We start from the raw sequence: 15910 nt of genomic DNA, 5'->3' as shown, positions 1-15910 counted from the left end.
TGCTTGGACCCAGGGACCAATAGCCTTTGCCTTGGAGTAACTGGAATATCTGATATCACCCCTTACATTCTTCTTGGGGGTAGGGAGGCAGGGGTGGAGCAGAAAAAGATTTGCTCTCTTCAATCGACAGCACTGCAAACTATTTTTCCAAATTGAGCCCAACCACATAATGTGCCTTCCTGAGGCCAGAGGCAGAGAGAAGTGTGGTACCAGCCTAGGATGCACGCCTGTAAGAATGAGGCTTTGTTTCCAATGCTGTGTCTGAGGTTCTTTGAAAACAAGCACATTTACTCCAAGGGACACCACGCTAAAGGCTTACAAATGTTGGCCCCCAGCCCAGACCTTGTGGAAGTGGCTTCATGTGGCTTCATGGTACCTCCTGCCTGCCCAGTCTGCTCCTGAAACCATGTACACGAAAGCTGAGCGGGTCCAGCATCCTGCAATGGAGACTGGGCCAGGCGGGATGTGGGTGCTGCCCATGAGGGGAAAGGCAGCCCTGCCCCAGGGCCCTCATCTAGACTTTGCCACACTTGCTGTGTGACTTTAGAACAGTCACTGTCCCTTTTGAATCTTTCATTTTTTGTACATTGGGGAAACCCTCCTGAGGATCTAAGGGAGAGCCGAGGAGAAGGCCTTTGGAAGGGGTGCAACTTTCATCTCAGAAATGCCTGCAGTTGCGTGAGAGGGGCATGGTGATGCTAGTGGCTTTGCTTACCATGCTTCTGGTCCCCCCAGAGTGTGGAAACACCCCCAACGCCATGACCATCCTCCTGGCTGTGGTCGGTAGCATCCTCCTTGTTGGGCTTGCACTCCTGGCTATCTGGAAGCTGCTTGTCACCATCCACGACCGGAGGGAGTTTGCAAAGTTTCAGAGCGAGCGATCCAGGGCCCGCTATGAAATGGTAAGCACGTGGGAAATGGGAAGCAGAGGAGACTTCAAGCTCAGAGGCGTGGTTGAGTTCAGCGGTATGTTAGCAATAGAGGCTCACTAATGTCTTTGGCATTAAAAACAAAAGAATCAACACCAGAAACGCTGTGCCCAGTTCTGGAGAGAGAGAATTGCACAGCCCCAGTGCAGAGTGAGCTGCACAGATCCCTGTTCCAGACCCAGGTCAGGAAGGTCATGGGGGCAGAGGCGCTGGGCGTGCCTCAGGAAGAGTCTGACCAGTCTCAGAGAGAGCACAGACCAACAGGAAAGCTCAGATTCTTATGGTCCATTACAACACTCACACCTGCAGTCTGGTCACCCCAGGCAGACTGCAAATGCCCAGAGGACTGAGCGCAGTCAGTTTCTGCTGAACCTGGGCTTGGTTTCTGTTAAAGCTGGAAGGGACTTCAGAGACCTTCTGACCCAACTCCTCCTTCCAGAGGTGGATAGTGAAAGCTTAGAGAAGGCGATGGCTTTCCTGGGGAACACAGAGCTGTCCTAGAGCCCACGGCCGTCTCCTCCTGAGTGCTCTGCCTGCTGCTGTCGCAGGGGGCTGACCTGGGAAGGGATCCTAGGGCCTGCGTCTGTCGGTTTGAGTGTGTGAGCTAACATGTGTCCTCATCCTCTTCCCCGCCGTGTTCTGTAGGCTTCAAATCCATTATACAGAAAGCCTATCTCCACGCACACTGTGGACTTCACCTTCAACAAGTTCAACAAATCCTACAATGGCACTGTGGACTGATGTTTCCTTCTCCGAGGGGCTGGAGCGGGGATCTGATGAAAAGGTCAGACTGAAACGCCTTGCACGGCTGCTCGGCTTGATCACAGCTCCCTAGGTAGGCACCACAGAGAAGACCTTCTAGTGAGCCTGGGCCAGGAGCCCACAGTGCCTGTACAGGAAGGTGCCTGGCCATGTCACCTGGCTGCTAGGCCAGAGCCATGCCAGGCTGCGTCCCTCCGAGCTTGGGATAAAGCAAGGGGACCTTGGCGCTCTCAGCTTTCCCTGCCACATCCAGCTTGTTGTCCCAATGAAATACTGAGATGCTGGGCTGTCTCTCCCTTCCAGGAATGCTGGGCCCCCAGCCTGGCCAGACAAGAAGACTGTCAGGAAGGGTCGGAGTCTGTAAAACCAGCATACAGTTTGGCTTTTTTCACATTGATCATTTTTATATGAAATAAAAAGATCCTGCATTTATGGTGTAGTTCTGAGTCCTGAGACTTTTCTGCGTGATGGCTATGCCTTGCACACAGGTGTTGGTGATGGGGCTGTTGAGATGCCTGTTGAAGGTACATCGTTTGCAAATGTCAGTTTCCTCTCCTGTCCGTGTTTGTTTAGTACTTTTATAATGAAAAGAAACAAGATTGTTTGGGATTGGAAGTAAAGATTAAAACCAAAAGAATTTGTGTTTGTCTGATACTCTCTGTGTGTTTCTTTCTTTCTGAGCGGACTTAAAATGGTGCCCCCAGTGGGGATTGAAGCGGCCGTGTACTTCCTCAGGGATGGGACACAGGCTGGTCTGATACTCCAGACTGCAGCTTGTCAAGTAAGCATGAGGTGCTCGGGGCAGTGAGGGCTGTGCAAGGGGGAACACTGAGCAGATACCTTTGGCCCCTTCCAGCTTTTACTGACAGAGAGTTCCAGGCTAGACACCATAAAAACCACCCCTTGTTCTGAGGGGCTGAGGCTGGAAATAGATTGTACAGACAAGCAAGGGTTGAGTGGTGGTTCCCACACGAAGTCATCTCTTAATCATCATTAGCAATAGCAGTTCCCTTCCAAGGCCTCCCCTCACTCCCGAAACACTTACGTCCCATGCAGGCCCAATGCAAAAAAACACATTTGAGCTTTTTTCCCGCAGGGCCATGAAGTCCCCTTAAGTTCCCATATCTAAGATGGTTGACTGACCCTCTCCCCTTATGTACAGAAGAGGAAACTGATTCTCAGAGAGGGGAAGTGGCTTGCCCGAGTGTTTGTTAGGAGGTTACTGAATGACAAACTGTTCCTAAGACCCCATCTCATGCTGGCCAGAGGGCCAGCCTCCTCATTCCTGCTTGCTCTTAGAAAATCTTTCACTGATCATTTTTTGTCACTGGAATAACTTCAAGGTTATTATGCTTTCATTCCAAATGGATCTGTCCTCAGCTCTGGACCCAATTCCCCTTACTTCATTTTGGCAAACACTAAGTCAAATAGTGAAATGCCTGTCACTACATAGAACCTATTACCTGGGGCAAATACGAACAGATTGAGTTTCCTTCATCTTGTGTAAATATGATGAAACAGAGACCTGGTAACTTGGTGACACTGTTAAACCCTTTTTGGGATAAAGCCAAATGTAAATGAAAACATTAAACAGATAAATTGTGGTGTTGAGACTTTTCTGAATTGAGAAAAATAAATGTAATTTTGGAAGAAACTTTGGGTTTCTCTCATGTTTAATTTTGGGTTTCCTGGAGACAAATCATTAACTGGCTCAGAATCTCATTTTCTCTAAGGGCACGACATTCTTTTTTTTTTTTTTTAAGAGAGGATCTCACTGGGTCACTCAGGCTGGAGTGCAGAGGTGCAATCTCAGTTCTCTGCAGCCTCAATCTCCTGGTCTCCCGTGATCCTCCCAACTCAGCCTCCTAAGTAGCTGGGACTACAGGTGTGCACCATCACACCCAGATAATACTTTATTTTTTGCAGAGACAAGGTCTCACTATGTTGCCCAGGCTGGTTGGTCTACAACTCCCAAGCTCAAGCGATCCTCCCACCTTGGCCTCCCAAAGTGTTAGGATTACATACGTCAGCCACCGCGCCTGGCCTGGGCACAACATTCTTGAGCCACAGATAGCAAAGGAGGATTTGTTCTAGTTCCACTTGACGTGGAAAGTGAGGGTGTTTTCGTCTGACGCCGAGGGATGTTACGGAACCAGTGCTCACGGTGCCTTGCTGCCCCCTGCTGGAAGCTCTTGGCATGAGCTGTTTGGAGATCTGACTCCCGAGATTCCGACCCAATGTATAATTTTAAAGGTTATCCAGCGAGCTGCAAGTGACCACAAAGATAATCTATTCCAAACGCTTCATTTCACAACCCACCCCCAGATGGGTCATTTTGTAATTTTAAGATATTTTTATCAAAATGGGCCTTTGGCCGAGCATGGTGTCTCACGCCTGTAATCTCAACACTTTGGGAGACCAAGGTGGGAGGATTGCCAAAGCCCAGGAGTTCGAGACCAGCCTGGGCAACACAATGAGACCCTGGCTCTACAAAAAAGAAAAAAAAAAAACCAGGGAATTCTCATTCAGCTTGATTGACTAGTACTTTATTAAACTAACCAATCGCTACCTCTTCCAGGGAAGAAATGTGATTTTTAAATTTGTTTAATTAGGATCAAAGCTTGAGGTGATTATCATGAAACTCTTGGGATGAATTTCAGGTAAGAGCAAACAGATGGGGAAAAACGGGCAGGGAGGACAGAAGGTCCTTCTCTGCTGGAGTATGCCCTTTAGCTCCTCCCTCTCCCTGGAGGACATCCAATACCATGGTTCCTACTTGCTTCTGAGGACATCCTTGTATACTCAGCTGTTATGGAATGGATTGTGTCCCTGCAAAAATGCATTTGTTGTAAGCCCTAAAGCCCCAAAGTGATAGCATTTGGAGATGATGGAGCCTTTAAAGAATGAATTGCGATTAAATGAGGTCATAGGGTGGCACCCTAACTCAATGCAGCTGGTGTCTTTATAAGACCAGGTAGAGACCCCAGGGCTGCAGAGAGGAAAAGCTGTGTGAAGACACAGTGAGAAGGTGGCTGCCTGCAAGCCAACAGGAGAGGCCTTAGGGGAAACCATTTTTGCTGACACTTGATCAACTTCCACAGCCTCCAAAACTATGAGAAAGTTAGTTGTTGAAACCACCCAGTCTGTGATATTTTGTTACGGCAGCCTGAGCAGACTAATACAGCTAGTAACAAGCTTTGAGACTGGCAGAGAGGAGGCGGGGAGAAGTAAAAGACGCAAAGGCAGTGACAGTGACAGTGCTGGGATGAGGCTCCGGAAGAGGTGTTGCGCCTGTGGGGTGTGAGGTGCCTGAGGAAGCTGGGGGTTTGTCCAGTGGGCACTGGAAATGCAGACAGGGCATGGCATGTGAACATGCCTGGAGCTGGGTCACTGCCTGCATGGAGGCTGTGAGCACTCAGACAGCTGTGGCCTGGCTGCGACTCAGCGTTGGGGCTCCGAGGTCCTGGCTGCGACTCAGCGTTGGGGCTCCTCTGGAGGTCCCCCAGCTGAGAAGGCCTAGTTAGGTCTCTCCCACCCGGCATCCTGTTCTCCCCCAGCTCTGGGGCTCCAGACTTCATAGTCAGGACCCAGCTCCTACTCAGGCCTTCAGACCCTCCAGGGGTGCAAACATAAGAGCTGGAGGGAGAAGAATAGGAGAGACAGCTGTGAGGGGGCTGCGCCTGAGGAACAGTTCTTCTCAGCCCCCAGAGGCCCTGCCTGCTCAGTTGCTGCTTTGGGAGGGACCCATGGGAAGGAGGGAAAGACAGTCGCTGCCTGGCCAGCCCCCCATCTGCGAGAGCCACCTCCAAGACGGGTTGGGTGATGTGTCAGTGAGAAGGCCTTCATATCCAATTTCTTTCTCTTGGATGTGAATGTCAGGAAGTCCATCTCTCCCCATGACTGATGCTTCCTTCTGTCATACAATGGGGCCTGTATAATAGGTTTGGTATCTTGATGGTTAGGAAGCTGGGAACTGAATGCATTTAGTGGACCAGAGACTGTTCATAACATGGGGACAAGAGAAAAAGAGGCTCGGGTTCTTAGTGCCACCCCTTTTCCTCTCAACCCAACCCCACTGCCCCCTCCATTAACAACCCCCATCCTCTTCCTACCTTCCCCCTCCACACGTCCTGATCCTTCTGATAGATACCCAGCTGCATAACGTCTTCACTTTAAGATGCCTCGAATTCTTGGTGGAAAAAGGCAAGCTCTAAACAGCAAGGGGCAACCCATCAGGGGCAGCCACCTCACTGACCTGCTACAGTAGGAGTTCCTGACCCTTTTGGGTCATGGGCTGCTTTGACATTCTGGTGAATGCTACAGACACCCTTGTTAGAACAATGCCTATAAATGTGTAACAAAGAAGATGCTAAAAAGTCCAATCCTATTTCTCAGGGTTATCATCTCAGTTTGATTTCAAAAACACCCTCCCTGGAAGACACATCATTGAAAGCTTCATTGGTCCCACCCACATAGAATATCAGATCCCTGTGACTGAAAGCAAACTCCTCATTTGATCCTCACAACTACCCCACAAATACCACATTCAGGGAAGGTATTTCCCCATTTTACAAAAGGGGAGATTGAGAACAGTCACACCTTGAGTGACAGTTGGTGAGACCCAAGCTCAAGAATCCCTTCTCTAGAGTCCTCTGCCCTGCACCTGCTCCTGGAAGAAGTCTGTCTCTTCTTATCCCAGAATTCTGCCGCATGATTGGGGAGTCATCTGAGTCTCTGTCTTGGGGGCATACATCTCTACTGAAATAAAGTGAAGTGCTCTAAGAGCAGACTGATACATTATAAAATGTCTCTCCTTCCTCCTTGAATCTTTCTCTTTTGTCCTCATCACATGAGCAGTCTCTGGTACACACATGTGGAGGCCAAGGCAACTCCATCTTGGAAGTGAATCTGCCATGTTGACTTCTGATTAATTCCTGTTCTGGAAAGCTCTCTAAGATTTCCAGTTTATCTATTGTTCCTTGTGTAAGAGTAGGTACTAACTAAACAACCTTGATGTTATTGTATTTACCACAAGTTCTGCCCTTAAGCCATTGTCCTACACACCCCTTCTTTTCACATCCATCTCTTCCCTGTGGTCTGTAGCCCTAGGTTTAGGGGATAATGGTTCAGGGATCCAACAACTTGTCTCACCACTGCCCAAGAGACAGACATAGCTTCTGTTCTTAAGTCCCTATTAAATATTTCTTTCTGAGAAACTGGGTTTGTCAGGCTCTCTCTTTGACTTCTCAGCTTCCTCAGACTTTGAGGGGTAGGTGTGCACAGGCCTGCCAATGCAGAACAACACACGTTAACAAAAACCCCAGGAACTGTTCTATTTTTTTAAATGAAGGAAGATGACAACTGACACAAATGTCATGTTTCCTCGCACAGAAGTTCAATCCTTCAAAGACTCCTTTCTGTCAGGCCTCTGAGCCCAAGCCAAGCCATCGCATCCCCTTGTGACTTGCACGTATACGCCCAGATGGCCTGAAGTAACTGAAGAATCACAAAAGAAGTGAAAAGGCCCTGCCCCGCCTTAACTGATGACATTCCACCATTGTAATTTGTTCCTGCCCCATCTTAACTGAGTGATTAACCCTGTGAATTTCCTTCTCCTGGCTCAGAAGCTCCCCTACTGAGCACCTTGTGAACCCCGCCCCTGCCCACCAGAGAACAACCCCCTTTGACTGTAATTTTCCATTACCTTCCCAAATCCTATAAAACGGCCGCATCTCCCTTCGCTGACTCTCTTTTCGGACTCAGCCCGCCTGCACCCAAGTGAAATAAACAGCCATGTTGCTCACACAAAGCCTGTCTGGTTGTCTCTTCACATGGACTCGAGTGAAATTTGGTGCCGTGACTCGGATCGGGGGACCTCCCTTGGGAGATCAATCCCCTGTCCTCCTGTTCTTTGCTCCGTGAAAAAGATCCACCTACGACCTCAGGTCCTCAGACCGACCAGCCCAGGAAACATCTCACCAATTTCAAATCCGCTAAGCGGCCACTTTTTACTCTCTCCTCCAACCTCCCTCACTATCCCTCAACCTCTTTCTCCTTTCAATCTTGGCGGCACACTTCAATCTCTCCCTTCTCTTAATTTCAATTCCTTTCATTTTCTGGTAGAGACAAAGGAGACAGGTTTTATCCGTGGACCCAAAACTCCGGCACCGGTCATGGACTGGGAAGGCAGCCTTCCCTTGGTGTTTAATCACTGCAGGGACGCTCTCTGATTATACACTCACGTTTCAAGTGTGTCAGACCACGCAGGGACGCCTGCCTTGGTCCTTCACCCTTAGTGGCAAGTCCCGCTTTTCTGGGGCAGGGGCAAGTACCCCTCAACCCCTTCCCCTTCATCCTTAGCGGCAAGTCCCGCTTTCCTAGGGGGTAAGAACCCCCCAATCGCTTATTTCCGCACCCCAACCTCTTATCTCTGTGCCCCAATCCCTTATTTCTGCACCCTGACCTCTTATCTCTGTGCCCCAATCCCTTATTTCCGTGCCCCAACCCCTTCTCTGCTTCTGGAGGGCAAGAACCCCCCACCCCTTCTCCGTGTCTCTACTCTTTTCTCTGGGCTTGCCTCTTCACTATAGGTAAGCTTCCACCTTCCATTCCTCCTTCTTCTCCCTTAGCCTGTGTTCTCAAAACCTTAAAACCTCTTCAACTCACACCTGACCTAAAACCTAAATGCCTTATTTTCTTCTGCAATGCCGCTTGACCCCAATACAAACTCGACAGTAGTTCCAAATAGCCAGAAAATGGCACTTTCAATTTTTCCATCCTACAAGATCTAAATAGTTCTTGTCGTAAAATGGGCATATGGTCTGAGATGCCTGACGTCCAGGCATTCTTTTACACATCAGTCCCTTCCTAGTCTCTGTGCCCAGTGCAACTCGTCCCAAATCTTCCTTCTTTCCCTCCCGCCTGTCCCCTCAGTCCCAACCCCAAGCGTCGCTGAGTCTTTCTAATCTTCCTTTTCTACAGACCCATCTGACCTCTCCCCTCCTCGCCAGCCCAAGCTAGGCCCCAATTCTTCCTCAGCCTCCGCTCCTCCACCCTATAATCTTTTTATCGCCTCCCCTCCTCACACCTGGTCCGGCTTACAGTTTCATTCCGTGACTAGCCCTCCCCCACCTGCCCAGCAATTTACTCTTAAAAAGGTGGCTGGAGCTGAAGGCATAGTCAAGGTTAATGCTCCTTTTTCTTTATCCCAAATCAGACAGCGTTTAGGCTCTTTTTCATCAAATATAAAAATCCAGCCCAGTTCATGGCTCGTTTGGCAGCAACCCTGAGATGCTTTACAGCCCTAGACCCTAAAAGGTCAAAAGGCCGCCTTATTCTCAATATACATTGTATTACCCAATCTGCTCCCAACATTAAATAAAACTCCAAAAATTAAATTCCGGCCCTCAAACCCCACAACAGGACTTAATTAGCCTCATCTTCAAGGTGTGCAATAACAGAAAAAAGTTGCAATTCCTTGCCTCCACTGTGAGACAAACCCCAGCCACATCTCCAGCACAAAAGAACTTCCAAACGCCTGAACCGTAGCAGCCAGGCGTTCCTCCAGAACCTCCTCCCCCAGGAGCTTGCTACACGTACCAGAAATCTGGCCACTGGGCCAAGGAATGCCCGCAGCCCGGGATTCCTCCTAAGCCGCGTCCCATCTGTGTGGGACCCCACTGAAAATCGGACTGTTCAACTCACCTGGCAGCCACTCCCAGAGCCTCTGGAACTCTGGCCCAAGGTTCTCTGACTGACTCCTTCTTGGCTTACCGGCTGAAGACTGATGCTGCCTGATTGCCTCAGAAGCCCCGTAGACCATCACGGACGCCGAGCTTTAGGTAACTCTCACAGTGGAGGGTAAGTCCGTCCCCTTCTTAATCAATATGGAGGCTACCCACTCCACATTACCTTCTTTTCAAGGGCCTGTTTCCCTTGTCTCCATAACTGTTGTGGGTATTGACAGCCAGGCTTCTAAACCTCTTAAAACTCCCCAACTCTGGTGCCAATTTAGACAACACTCTTTTATGCACTCTTTTTTAGTTATCTCCACCTGCCCAGTTCCCTTATTAGGCCGAGATATTTTAACCAAATTATCTGCTTCCCTGACTATTCCTGGACTACAGCCACATCTCATTGCCGCCCTTCTCCCCAACCCAAAGCCTCCTTCGAGTCTTCCTCTCATATCCCCCCACCTTAACCCACAAGTATAGGACATCTCTACTCCTTCCCTGGCAACCGATCACATGCCCCTTACCATCTCATTAAAACCTAATCACCCTTACCCCGCTCAACGCCAATATCCCATCCCACAGCACGCTTTGAAAGGATTAAAGCCTGTTAACACTCGCCTGCTACGGCATGGCCTTTTAAAGCCTATAAACTCTCCTTACCATTCCCCCATTTTACCTGTCCTAAAACCAGACAAGGCTTACAAGTTAGTTCAGAATCTGTGCCTTATCAACCAAATTGTTTTGCCTATCCACCCCATGGTGCCAAACCCATATGCTCTCCTATCTTCAATATCTCCCTCTACTACCCATTATTCTGTTCTGGATCTCAAACATGCTTTCTTTACTATTCCTTTGCACCCTTCATCCCAGCCTCTCTTTGCCTTCACTTAGACTGACCCTGACACCCATTAGGCTCAGCAAATTACCTGGGCTGTACTGCCGCAAGGCTTCACAGACAGCCCCCATTACTTCAGGCAAGCCCAAATTTCATCCTCATCTGTTACCTATCTCGGCATAATTCTCATAAAAACACACGTGCTTTCCCTGCTGATCGTGTCTGATTAATCTCCCAAACCTCAATCCCTTACAAAACAACAACTCCTTTCCTTCCTAGGCATGCTTAGTGCGGTCAGAATTCTTACACAAGAGCCAAGACTGCACCCTGTAGCCTTTCTGTCCAAACAACTTGACCTTACTGTTTTAGCCTAGCCCTCATGTCTGCGTGTAGTGGCTGCCGCTGCTTTAATACTTTTAGAGGCCCTAAAAATCGCAAACTATGCTCAACTCACTCTCTACATTTCTCATAACTTCCAAAATCTATTTTCTTCCTCACACCTGACACATATACTTTCTGCTCCCGGCTCCTTCAGCTGTACTCACTCTTTGTTAAGTCCCACAATTACCATTGTTCCTGGCCCGGACTTCAATCCGGCCTCCCACATTATTCCTGATACCACACCTGACCCCCATGACTGTATCTCTCTGATCCACCTGATATTCACCCCATTTCCCCATATTTCCTTCTTTCCTGTTCCTCACCCTGATCACGCTTGATTTATTGACGGCAGTTCCACCAGGCCTAATCGCCACACACCAGCAAAGGCAGGCTATGCTATAGTACAAGCCACTAGCCCGCCTCTTAGAACCTCTCATTTCCTTTCCATCGTGGAAATCTATCCTCAAGGAAATAACTTCAGTGTTCCATCTGCTATTCTACTACTCCTCAGGGATTATTCAGGCCCCCTCCCTTCCCTACACATCAAGCTCGAGGATTTGCCCCCACCCAGGACTGGCAAATTAGCTTTACTCAACATGCCCTGAGTCAGGAAATTAAAATACCTTAGTCTAGGTAGACACTTTCACTGGATAGGTACAGGCCTTTCCTACAGGGTCTGAGAAGGCCACCACAGTCATTTCTTCCCTTCTGTCAGACATAATTCCTCAGTTTAGCCTTCCCACCTCTATACAGTCTGACAGCAGACCAGCCTTCATTAGTCAAATCAGCCAATTAGTTTTTCAGGCTCTTAGTATTCAGTGAAACCTTTATATCCTTTCCGGTCCTCCATCTTCAAGAAAAGTAGAACAGACTAAAGGTCTTTTAAAAACACACCTCACCAAGCTCAGCCACCAACTTAAAAACGACTGGACAATACTTTTACCACTTTCACTTCTCAGAATTCAGGCCTGTCCTCAGAATGCTACAAGGTACAGCCCATTTAAGCTCCTGTATAGATGCTCCTTTTTATTAGGCCCCAGTCTCATTCCAGACACCGGACCAACTTAGACTGTGCCCCCAAAAAAACTTGTCATCCCTACTATTTTCTGTCTAGTCATATTCCTATTCTCCGTTCTCAACTACTCATACATGCCCTGCTCTTGTTTACACTGCCAGTTTACACTGTTTCTCCAAGCCATCACAGCTGATATCTCCTGGTGCTATCCCCAAACCGCCACTCTTAACTCTTGAAGTAAATAAATAATCTTTGCTGGCAGGACTATGCTGAATCTCCTTAGGCACACTCTAATCAGATGTCCTAGGTCCTCCTAATTCTTAGACCTTTTATACCTGTTTTTCTCCTTCTTATTCCATTTAGTTTTTCAATTCATACAAAACCGTATCCAGGCCATCACCAATCATTCTATACGACAAATGTTTCTTCTAACAACCCCACAATATCACCCCTTACCACAGGATCTCCTTTCAGCTTAATCTCTCCCACTCTAGGTTCCCACACCGCCCCTAATCCCGTTTGAAGCAGCCCTGAGAAACATCGCCCATTCTCTCTCCACACCACCCCCCAAAAATTTTCGCCACCCCAACACTTCAACACTATTTTATTTTTCTTATTAATATAAGAAGGCAGGAATGTCAGGCCTCTGAGCCCAAGCCAAGCCATCGCATCCCCTGTGACTTACACGAATATGCCCAGATGGCCTGAAGTAACTGAAGAATCACAAAAGAAGTGAAAAGGCCCTGTCCCACCTTAACTGATGACATTCCACCATTGTGATTTGTTCCTGCCCCACCTTAATGGAGTGATTAACCCTGTGAATTTCCTTCTCCTGGCTCAGAAGCTCCCCCACTGAGCACCTTGTGACCCCCGCCCCTGCCCACCAGAGAACAACCCCCTTTGACTGTAATTTTCCATTACCTTCCCAAATCCTATAAAACGGCCGCACCCCTATCTCCCTTCGCTGACTCTCTTTTCGGACTCAGCCCGCCTGCACCCAGGTGAAATAAACAGCCGTGTTGCTCACACAAAGCCTGTTTGGTGGTCTCTTCACATGGACTCCAGTGAAACTTTCCATTAGGGAGACACAACAGGTTGGCCTGGCAGGATTTCATATCAGGGAGGCCCCAGGTATGAGCTGACATGCACTGGTTGGCATTCATGTCCTGACACATGATCATAAAAAATTTTTTTAGAAAACGTGGGTGATGAGCTGCACTGCACCTTAAGGACCCAGGAGGATGGGAAGCCAGGGATACTTGGGTTTCCCTCCCACTCAGCACCTTTTCTTAGGGTCTCTTTTCAGCTCAAGCCACAAGGACTGTAGGCGTGATTTCAGTTGGGAGACATCCCCCATTGGATGGCACTGGAGTTGAAGAGGGGAAGAAGGCAATAGAAGTGAGGAAGAGGTAATGCTATAGCCCAAGAAGAGAGCACAGGCGCTTGGGGAAGTCAGAGGGCAGCAAGATGGTGGGAGTGAGGGAAGTGTCAACAGAAATAGTGGAACTCTGTAAATATTTGAAGAGATTTATTTTGAGCCAAATATGAGTGACCATGGCCCATGACACAGCCCTCAGGAGGTCCCAAGAACATGTGCCCAAGGTGGTCAGGGTACAGCTTGGTTTTATACATTTTAGACAGGCATGAGACATCAATCAAATGCATTTAAGAAATGCATTGGTTTGGTCCTGAAAGGCAGAACAACTCAAAACCAGGGGCAGGGTGGCAGGGTGGCGGGGCGGGGGGGCGCGGGGGGGGGGAAGGGTGAGGTGGGGCTTCCAGGCTATAGGTTAATTCAAACATTTTCTGGTTGACAACTGGTTGAGTTTGTCTAAAGACCTGGGATTGATAGAAAGGGAATGTTCAGGTTAAGATTGCGGAGACAAAAGTCTTATAAGTGGCTGCCCTTAGAGACAATAGATGACCGATGTTTCCTATTCAGATCTTAGTTAGTATCTTTAGGATTGGGAGAGTCTGTAAGATAAAGATCTAGCTATGTTAATAGAGATTCCTTACAGATGCTAATTTCCCCCCACAAAGAACAGCTTTGCAGGGCCATTTCAAAATATGGCAAATAAACATATTTGGGGGTAAAATATTTTGATTTTCTTCCTTGTCTCATAAGGTTATACCAGAGTGAGGCTGGAAAATAAGTCATGATATGTAGGGTTAAATAAAACCCATCTGATAAAAATTTATGACTTGTAGGGCATGACTCCCCAGACCCCTTAGATAGGAATGTGGGCAAGATTTAAAAAAAAAAAAATCCTCTCCCTTTCCCTCTCCCTCTCCCCTCTTTCCACGGTCTCCCTCTGATGCCGAGCCGAAGCTGGACTGTACTGCTGCCATCTCGGCTCATTGCAACCTCCCTGCCTGATTCTCCTGCCTCAGCCTGCCTAGTGCCTGCAATTGCAGGCGCGCACCGCCACGCCTGACTGGTTTTCGTATTTTTTGGGTGGAGACGGGGTTTCGCTGTGTTGGCCGGGCTGGTCTCCAGCTCCTAACCGTGAGTGATCCGCCAGCCTCGGCCTCCCGAGGTGCTGGGATTGCAGACGGAGTCTCCTTCACTCAGTGCTCAATGGTGCCCAGGCTGGAGTGCAGTGGCGTGATCTCGGCTCGCTACAACATCCACCTCCCAGCAGCCTGCCTTGGCCTCCCAAAGTGCCGAGAGTGCAGCCTCTGCCCCGCCGCCACCCCGTCTGGGAAGTGAGGAGCGTCTCTGCCTGGCCGCCCATCGTCTGGGATGTGAGGAGCCCCTCTGCCTGGCTGCCCAGTCTGGAAAGTGAGGAGCGTCTCTGCCCAGCCGCCACCCCATCTAGGAAGTGAGGAGCGCCTCTTCCCAGCCGCCATCCCATCTAGGAAGTGAGGAGCGTCTCTGCCCGGCCGCCCCGTCTAAGTGAGGAGACCCTCTGCCTGGCAACCGCCCTGTCTGAGAAGTGAGGAGCCCCTCCGCCCAGCAGCCGCCCCGTCTGAGAAGTGAGGAGCCCCTCCGCCCGGCAGCCACCCCGTCTGGGAAGTGAGGAGCGTCTCCGCCCGGCAGCCACCCCATCCGGGAGGGAGGTGGGGGGGTCAGCCCCCCGCCCGGCCAGCCGCCCCATCCGGGAGGTGAGGGGCGCCTCTGCCCAGCCGCCCCTACTGGGAAGTGAGGAGCCCCTCTGCCCGGCCAGCCGCCCCGTCCGGGAGGGAGGTGGGGGGGTCAGCCCCCCGCCCGGCCAGCCGCCCCGTCTGGGAGGGAGGTGGGGGGGGTCAGCCCCCCGCCCGGCCAGCCGCCCCATCCGGGAGGTGAGGGGCGCCTCTGCCCGGCCGCCCCTACTGGGAAGTGAGGAGCCCCTCTGCCCGGCCAGCTGCCCCGTCTGGGAGGGAGGTGGGGGGGGTCAGCCCCCCGCCTGGCCAGCTGCCCCATCCGGGAGGGAGGTGGGGGGGTCAGCCCCCCGCCGGGCCAGCCGCCCCATCCGGGAGGTGAGGGGCGCCTCTGCCTGGCCGCCCCTACTGGGAAGTGAGGAGCCCCTCTGCCCGGCCAGCCGCCCCGTCCGGCCAGCCGCCCTGTCCGGGAGGTGGGGGGGGGTCAGCCCCCCGCCTGGCCAGCCGCCCCGTCCCGGAGGGAGGGGGGGTCAGCCCCCCGCCCGGCCAACCACCCCATCCGGGAGGTGAGGGGCGCCTCTACCCGGCCGCCCCTACTGGGAAGTGAGGAGCCCCTCTGCCCGGCCACCACCCCGTCTGGGAGGTGTATCCAACAGCTCATTGAGAACGGGCCATGATGACAATGGCAATTTTGTGGAATAGAAAGGGGGGAAACGTGGGGAAAAGATTGAGAAATCGGATGGTTGCCGTGTCTGTGTAGAAAGAGGTAGACATGGGAGACTTTTCATTTTGTTCTGTACTAAGAAAAATTCTTCTGCCTTGGGATCCTGTTGATCTGTGACCTTACCCCCAACCCTGTGCTCTCTGAAACATGTGCTGTGTCCACTCAGGGTTAAATGGATTAAGGGCGGTGCAAGATGTGCTTTGTTAAACAGACGCTTGAAGGCAGCATGCTCGTTAAGAGTCATCACCACTCCCTAATCTCAAGTACCCAGGGACACAAACACTGCGGAAGGCCGCAGGGTCCTCTGCCTAGGAAAACCAGAGACCTTTGTTCACTTGTTTATCTGCTGACCTTCCCTCCACTATTGTCCTGTGACCCTGCCAAATCCCCCTCTGCGAGAAACACCCAAGAATGATCAATAAATAAATAAATAAATAAATAAATAAATAA

General features: G+C 50.3%; 1 protein-coding gene across 10 annotated transcripts in view, besides 5 other annotated features; it reads left to right on the top strand.

Annotated features, from left to right (window-relative positions):
- The window catches only part of ITGB5 (integrin subunit beta 5), a 139471-nt gene extending 136126 nt beyond the window's left edge, over positions 1 to 3345 (top strand). For all 10 annotated transcript variants that reach the window (NM_001354766.2, NM_001354764.2, NM_001354765.1 and 7 more), the window contains 2 exons: positions 736 to 902; positions 1575 to 3345. In NM_001354766.2, the coding sequence (NP_001341695.1) occupies positions 736 to 902; positions 1575 to 1670 (263 nt within the window). In that variant the 3' untranslated portion in view covers positions 1671 to 3345. The remainder of the gene's footprint in view (positions 1 to 735; positions 903 to 1574) is intronic.
- Positions 3717 to 4011: an enhancer, noted in NCBI's record as "tiled region #9344; HepG2 Activating non-DNase unmatched - State 1:Tss, and K562 Activating DNase unmatched - State 12:CtcfO". NCBI's record gives its function as "activates a minimal TATA promoter and a strong SV40 promoter by Sharpr-MPRA in HepG2 and K562 cells {active_cell/tissue: HepG2 | K562}" and the evidence as "EXISTENCE:reporter gene assay evidence [ECO:0000049][PMID:27701403]".
- Positions 4548 to 5137: an enhancer, noted in NCBI's record as "H3K27ac-H3K4me1 hESC enhancer chr3:124479003-124479592 (GRCh37/hg19 assembly coordinates)". NCBI's record gives its function as "activates a minimal SCP1, AML or CMV promoter by ChIP-STARR-seq in naive H9 embryonic stem cells {active_cell/tissue: H9 hESC(naive)}" and the evidence as "EXISTENCE:reporter gene assay evidence [ECO:0000049][PMID:30033119]".
- Positions 5138 to 5727: an enhancer, noted in NCBI's record as "H3K27ac-H3K4me1 hESC enhancer chr3:124478413-124479002 (GRCh37/hg19 assembly coordinates)". NCBI's record gives its function as "activates a minimal SCP1, AML or CMV promoter by ChIP-STARR-seq in primed H9 embryonic stem cells {active_cell/tissue: H9 hESC(primed)}" and the evidence as "EXISTENCE:reporter gene assay evidence [ECO:0000049][PMID:30033119]".
- Positions 7278 to 8247: an enhancer, noted in NCBI's record as "NANOG-H3K27ac hESC enhancer chr3:124475893-124476862 (GRCh37/hg19 assembly coordinates)". NCBI's record gives its function as "activates a minimal SCP1, AML or CMV promoter by ChIP-STARR-seq in naive H9 embryonic stem cells {active_cell/tissue: H9 hESC(naive)}" and the evidence as "EXISTENCE:reporter gene assay evidence [ECO:0000049][PMID:30033119]".
- Positions 13623 to 14289: an enhancer, noted in NCBI's record as "NANOG-H3K27ac hESC enhancer chr3:124469851-124470517 (GRCh37/hg19 assembly coordinates)". NCBI's record gives its function as "activates a minimal SCP1, AML or CMV promoter by ChIP-STARR-seq in naive and primed H9 embryonic stem cells {active_cell/tissue: H9 hESC(naive and primed)}" and the evidence as "EXISTENCE:reporter gene assay evidence [ECO:0000049][PMID:30033119]".

This window comes from Homo sapiens, chromosome 3 (genome assembly GCF_000001405.40).
Source record: "Homo sapiens chromosome 3, GRCh38.p14 Primary Assembly".
In the NCBI taxonomy this organism is placed as follows: domain Eukaryota; kingdom Metazoa; phylum Chordata; class Mammalia; order Primates; family Hominidae; genus Homo; species Homo sapiens.
Note: the sequence above shows the minus strand (reverse complement) of the source record. Positions and strands in the feature narration are given on the sequence as shown.